Consider the following 6,144-nt stretch of genomic DNA (forward strand, 5'->3'; position numbering starts at 1 on the left):
CAGTCCCTGGCCTGTTAGGACCTGGGCCACACAGCAGGAGGTTCGAGGCAGGTGAGCAAGTGAAGCTCCATCTGTTTACAGCCACTCTCTGTCGCTCGCATTACCGCCCGAGCTCCTCCTCCTGTCAGATCAGCGGTGGCATTAGATTGTCCTGAGTGTGACCTGAACCCTGTTGTAAGTTGCTCATGCAGGGGGATATAGGTTGTTCACTCCTTATGAGAATCGAATGCCTTTCTGATCTGTCACCATCTTCCGTCACCCCCAAATGGGACCATCTAGTTGCAGGAAAACAAGCTCAGGGCTCCCACTGATTCTACATTTTGGTGAGATATAATTATTTCATTATATATTAATAATAATAGAAATAAAGTGCACAATGAATGTAATATACTTGAATCATCCTGGAACCATCCCCCACCTCAGGTTCCTGTAAACATTATCTTCCACAAAACCAGTCCCTGGTGCCAGCATGGTTGGGGACACCTGGTTAACAGATGTGAGACCCCTTTGCCTTGTCTTGGAATAATGTGCAGATATGCATTGTGTGAATGACATCTGATGGCGCCATCTTGCCCTGTACATCATTTTAGGGACAGCTCCAGTATTTCATGAAAATTAAAATTTCTTCTAGTGACGAACAAAATGATACTCAGAAGCAATTTTGTGAAGAACAGAACACTGGAATATTACACGATGAGATTCTGATTCATGAAGAAAAGCAGATAGAAGTGGTTGAAAAAATGAATTCTGAGGTATTTTCTTTAGTTATTTTCAAATGTTTTTATATGTGTGTATATTTTAAAGAACTGTATTTTGGAAATATAAAGGATTTTTAAGTCATATATATGTGTGTATATATTCTATATATCCTTTGTCATATATCTATATACGTACGTATAGGATAAAGCCATGTTCTTAATTCACCTTCATTTGCCTGCAACAGTTGAGTAGTGACCTGCACAATGGCCTCAATCCAAAGGAGAAGTATTTGATGTTTTTCATAAGAATTGATGATCTTTCCACATCAGAAATAAGTTTTGCTACTGAAAACAGATTTTCTCGTTTTTGGACATTAGTTTTTTAAAAAATGTTAATAGAGAAGTCAATTGATTATTTTTACTGATAAGAAAGTAGGAAATGTATAGCTGGGTCAGAGGCCACATTGTGGATACCATTATCCTTACTTTTGCAGAGAGGAACAGTTTGCTCCAAGTAGTTTCTCATTTCAGTGTAAAGAGGTTTGAAAACAATGACATGCCATGATACACATTTAGTAATAATTTATTGATAAGTATTTTGTTTCTGGAGAAATAGTTCAGTATATTTCCCCTATTTCACCATTACTACTGTTTCAAACATTATAAAGAGGAAATAAAAGTTACCGCAATGGCAAATAATCTCATGATTTCTAAGAAGATCTCTATAAGTTGTATCTTATTTACCATTCATATTTTGAAACAAAAGGTTTCTTTTGTATTTATATATTTACACCACAGAAGTAAGTGTGGTTTTGTGGAGGATCACTAGAAGTAGCATCAGCAGACCTGGGGAAAATCCTGCATCTGTGTATATTTTTTGACCTCTCCTTTTAAGAATCGCGATCTTAAATGAGTTCAGTATTATATGTAGAAGAGCAATGCCTAGATACAGATGTGTACAGTGTAGAAGGGTACAGTGCTTAGATTTGACAGTTATAAATAAATGTAATTCTTATAACTGAGTATAGAAATATTAGAAATGTAGAATATCGGTAAAACGTTCTTCAGTAAAAGAAACTTAAAGAACTTTGAGAAATTGCTTCTGTCCAAATATATGCATAGCTAAGGCTCTTAGGATGGTGTGGTTGATAGGTTAGATATCAGAGTGTAAACCTAATCTTAAAAATGTAGTCAAATTATTAATCTTATATTTTATGCCTCTGGGTTTTTTGTAACTCAGAAAAAGGCTTTTTTAATTCTGGGATTCTTAAAAATCCTCTAGTGATTTATTTTTCATCGTCTTTAAATAAATATTTAAACTTTTAGGAATTTAGGAGCAGATTCCTAAAAGTTTAAATATTTATTTAAAGACGATGAAAAATAAATCACTGGAGGAATTTACACTCTTATTAGGTTTGAAGTTTTGTCCAATTTTTTTCCAGTTAAATATCCACTATGGGGATTCTTTCATTATACAAATACATGTTATTTTTGAATTTCAGAAGAAATCATGATATGTCAATCTATTGAGTGCTAACTAAAAGTTCTCTTTGTTTACTTAGCTTTCTCTTAGTTGTAAGAAAGAAAAAGACGTCTTGCATGAAAATAGTACGTTGCGGGAAGAAATTGCCATGCTAAGACTGGAGCTAGACACAATGAAACATCAGAGCCAGCTAAGAGAAAAGAAATATTTGGAGGATATTGAAAGTGTGAAAAAAAAGAATGATAATCTTTTAAAGGCTCTACAATTGAATGAGCTCACCATGGATGATGATACCGCCGTGCTCGTCATTGACAACGGCTCTGGCATGTGCAAGGCCGGCTTTGCGGGCGACGATGCCCCCCGGGCTGTCTTCCCTTCCATCGTGGGGCGCCCCAGGCAGCAGGGCATGATGGGGGGCATGCATCAGAAAGAGTCCTATGTGGGCAAGGAGGCCCAGAGCAAGAGAGGCATCCTGACCCTGAAGTACCCCATGGAACACGGCATCATCACCAACTGGGATGACATGGAGAAGATCTGGCACCACACCTTCTACAACGAGCTGCGTGTGGCTCCCGAGGAGCACCCCATCCTGCTGACCGAGGCCCCCCTGAACCCCAAGGCCAACCGCGAGAAGATGACCCAGATCATGTTTGAGACCTTCAACACCCCAGCCATGTACGTGGCCATCCAGGCCGTGCCGTCCCTGTACACCTCTGGCCGTACTACTGGCATCGTGATGGACTCTGGTGACGGGGTCACCCACACTGTGCCCATCTATGAGGGGAATGCCCTCCCCCATGCCACCCTGCGCCTAGACCTGGCTGGGCGGGAACTGCCTGACTACCTCATGAAGATCCTCACCGAGCGTGGCTATAGGTTCACCACCATGGCCGAGCGGGAAATCGTGCGTGACATCAAAGAGAAGCTGTGCTATGTTGCCCTGGACTTCGAGCAGGAGATGGCCACGGCGGCCTCCAGCTCCTCCCTAGAGAAGAGCTACGAGCTGCCCGATGGCCAGGTCATCACCATCGGCAACGAGCGGTTCCGCTGCCCCGAGGCGCTCTTCCAGCCTTGCTTCCTGGGCATGGAATCCTGTGGCATCCATGAAACTACCTTCAACTCCATCATGAAGTCTGATGTGGACATCCGCAAAGACCTGTACACCAACACAGTGCTGTCTGGCGGCACCACCATGTACCCTGGCATGGCCCACAGAATGCAGAAGGAGATCGCTGCCCTGGCGCCTAGCATGATGAAGATCAGGATCATTGCTCCTCCCAAGCGCAAGTACTCCGTGTGGGTCGGTGGCTCCATCCTGGCCTCGCTGTCCACCTTCCAGCAGATGTGGATCAGCAAGCAGGAGTATGATGAGTCAGGCCCCTCCATTGTCCACCGCAAATGCTTCTAGGTGGACTCTGACTTAGTTGCGTTACACCCTTTCTTGACAAAACCAAACTTCTCAGAAAACAACATGAGATTGGCATGGCTTTATTTGTTTTCTTGTTTCATTTTTTGTTTTGTTTTTTATTGGCTTGACTCAGGATTTAAAAACCGGAATGGTGAAGGTGACAGCAGTCGGTTGGAGGAAGCTTCCTCCAAAGTTCTACAATGTTGCCAAGGACTTTGATTGTACATTGTTCTTCTTTTCAATAGTCATTCCAAATATTGTGAGACGCATTGTTTCAGGAAGCCCCTTGCCCTGCTAAAAGCCATCCCACTTCTCTCTAAGGAGAATGGCCCAGTCCTCTCCCTAGTTCACACAGGGGAGGTGATAGCATTGCTTTTGTGCAAATTACATAATGCAAAATTTTTTGAATCTTCGCCTTAATACTTTTTAATTTTGTTTTATTTTGAATGATCAGCCTTCGTGGCCCCCCTCTTTTGTACCCCAACTTGGGGTGTATGAAGGCTTTTGGTCTCCCTGAGAGTGGCTGGAGGCAGCCAGGGCTTACCTGTACTCTGACTTGAGGAGAGTTGGATAAAAGTGCACACCTTAAAAAAAATTGAGGAAGCACAGTATTTCAGTACAGTGGACAGCTTAGCATGTTGACAACTGAGAATAAAATGCTCAGTTCTGAACTGGACAATGTAAGACACAACGAGGAAACACTGGAAATGGAAATTCAATTACGTCATTGTAGACTGGCTGCTGCTCTACATGATTGTGACCAAAGTCAGATAGCTGAAAGAGACTTCTTTCCAGAGAACAAGACATGAACAGGTTTATTTACAGAAGACAATGAATTCTCATTTATCTCACCTAAAAGAGAACAGATTCTTTCTCAACAAGTCTAATGTAGACAGTAAAATCAACAGGCTAAAAATTAAGCTCCACGAAACAAGATAAAACTCTGAGAGAAAAGACGGGGCAGGCCGCCATCTTTCCCGTTCAGGCAACTTAGTCATTCCAGCCTGCGGGCTTTGGAGAGTACAAACCGACGAGGGACAGAAGAGATCCCACAGCACAGCATAGCTGCTTTACCAAATCATGGCCAGACTGCTTCTGTAAGCAGGCCCCTGATCCTGTTCCACCTCACTGGACAGGACCTCCCAACTGGGGCCTCCAGCTACCCCCACCAGCATTCCTTGGCCAATGGAAATGTGAAATGTTCCTGGGACAGAGCTCCCGGAGAGGGGCAGGCCCCCACCTTTGCTCTTTTGGTGACTAGCCATTCTGGCCTGCGGGCTTTGGAGAGCCCAAGCTGACAAGGGGTGGAAGAGGTACCTCAGCACAGCACAGCCACGCTACAAAAACGTGGCCAGACTCTTGTTTACGTCAGTCCCTGACCACATTTCTAGTCAGCGGGTGAAGTCTTTCAACCAGGGTCTCTGGCTACCTTGACTGCTGTTCTCTGGCCGACAGAGGTCTCAGGCCTCCCTGAGTCAGAGCTCCCAGGGGGAGGACCAGATTGTCATCTTTGCTGTTTGGGTGACCCAGCCATTTCAGCCTTAGGGCTTCAGAGTGTCTGAGGTGGACCAGGGGCTGAAGTGAACCCCCAGCACAGCACAGCTGCTCTATAAAAACGTGGCCAGACTTTTTTTTTTGAAGCAAGTCCCTGTTCTTGTTCGTCCTGACTAGGTAAGACTTCTCAACTTGCCTCCAGCCACATCTTATAGGTGTGTTCAGATTGGCAACAGGTTCGTACCTCAGTGGTACAGAGCTTCCAGAGGAAGGGGCAGACTATCATCTTCCCTGGAAAATACAAGGCAATTAGGGACTGGAGGGGACCCCCAGCATACCACAGCAGCCCTACAGAAAAGTGGCCGGGCTCTCTACTTGATGGGCAGATCCTCCTGGCCTGGGTCTCTAGCCAGCCCACCACTGGAGCTATCAAGCCAGTAGCAACTCTGCAGTTCCTGGGACAGAGCTTCCAGGAGCAAATGAAATCCTTTCTGCCACTGCCTCTGCAGTGGAACTGCCCTTGCTACCCTCAGAAGATGCAAGGGAGCAAAGACCCTAAGTGCCCTATCAACACCTCCAATAAGCTGCAGTTGACCCAAAGAACAAGCCAGTCCATCTCCCACGGGTACCACACACCCTCCACTACTCATCACCAGACAGGGAACCCTGGCTTGGGCTCACAGCACAGACCCTCCATCCTGGGCTGATTACACTAAGTGATTGCTAACTCACATGTCTCTGGGATGGAGCACCCAGGAAACAAGCAAAGTGGTGGAGCAGCAAGTCAGGTGATGTGGAGCCCAGAGGTCAGGGATGGCTATCTCTCTAGGGTCCACTTGCCCTTGTGAGACACTTTGTCCCAGCACTTTAGGAATGCTGAGGTCATACCAGCCACATCTTATATGCAAGATTGCCCAGCAGAGATCAGGTCCGAGAGTTCCCTTTTTAAAAAAAGGAGACTTGCTTAATAAAAGAAGTCTAGCCATGTTTGTGTAGAGCAGCTGTGCTGTGCTGGGGGTTCACTTTTGAGAGAGTTCTCCTCTGAGACCTGATCTCTGGAG

The 6,144-nt window shown here is 44.9% G+C and overlaps 1 protein-coding gene across 5 annotated transcripts in view; it reads left to right on the forward strand.

Moving 5' to 3' along the window:
- Positions 1–4,184, forward strand: part of POTEE (POTE ankyrin domain family member E) — a 55,743-nt gene extending 51,559 nt beyond the window's left edge. For 4 of the 5 annotated variants that reach the window (XM_047444418.1, XM_047444421.1, XM_047444419.1 and 1 more), the window contains 2 exons: positions 632–752; positions 2,261–4,160. In XM_047444418.1, the coding sequence (XP_047300374.1) occupies positions 632–752; positions 2,261–3,589 (1,450 nt within the window). In that variant the 3' untranslated portion in view covers positions 3,590–4,160. Of the gene's footprint in view, positions 1–631; positions 753–2,260 lie in introns of all 5 variants that reach the window. The other variant, NM_001083538.3, reaches the window with a different exon arrangement.
- Positions 4,185–6,144: the final 1,960 nt, after the last annotated feature.

Source organism: Homo sapiens, chromosome 2 (assembly GCF_000001405.40).
Source record: "Homo sapiens chromosome 2, GRCh38.p14 Primary Assembly".
NCBI lineage: Eukaryota > Metazoa > Chordata > Mammalia > Primates > Hominidae > Homo > Homo sapiens.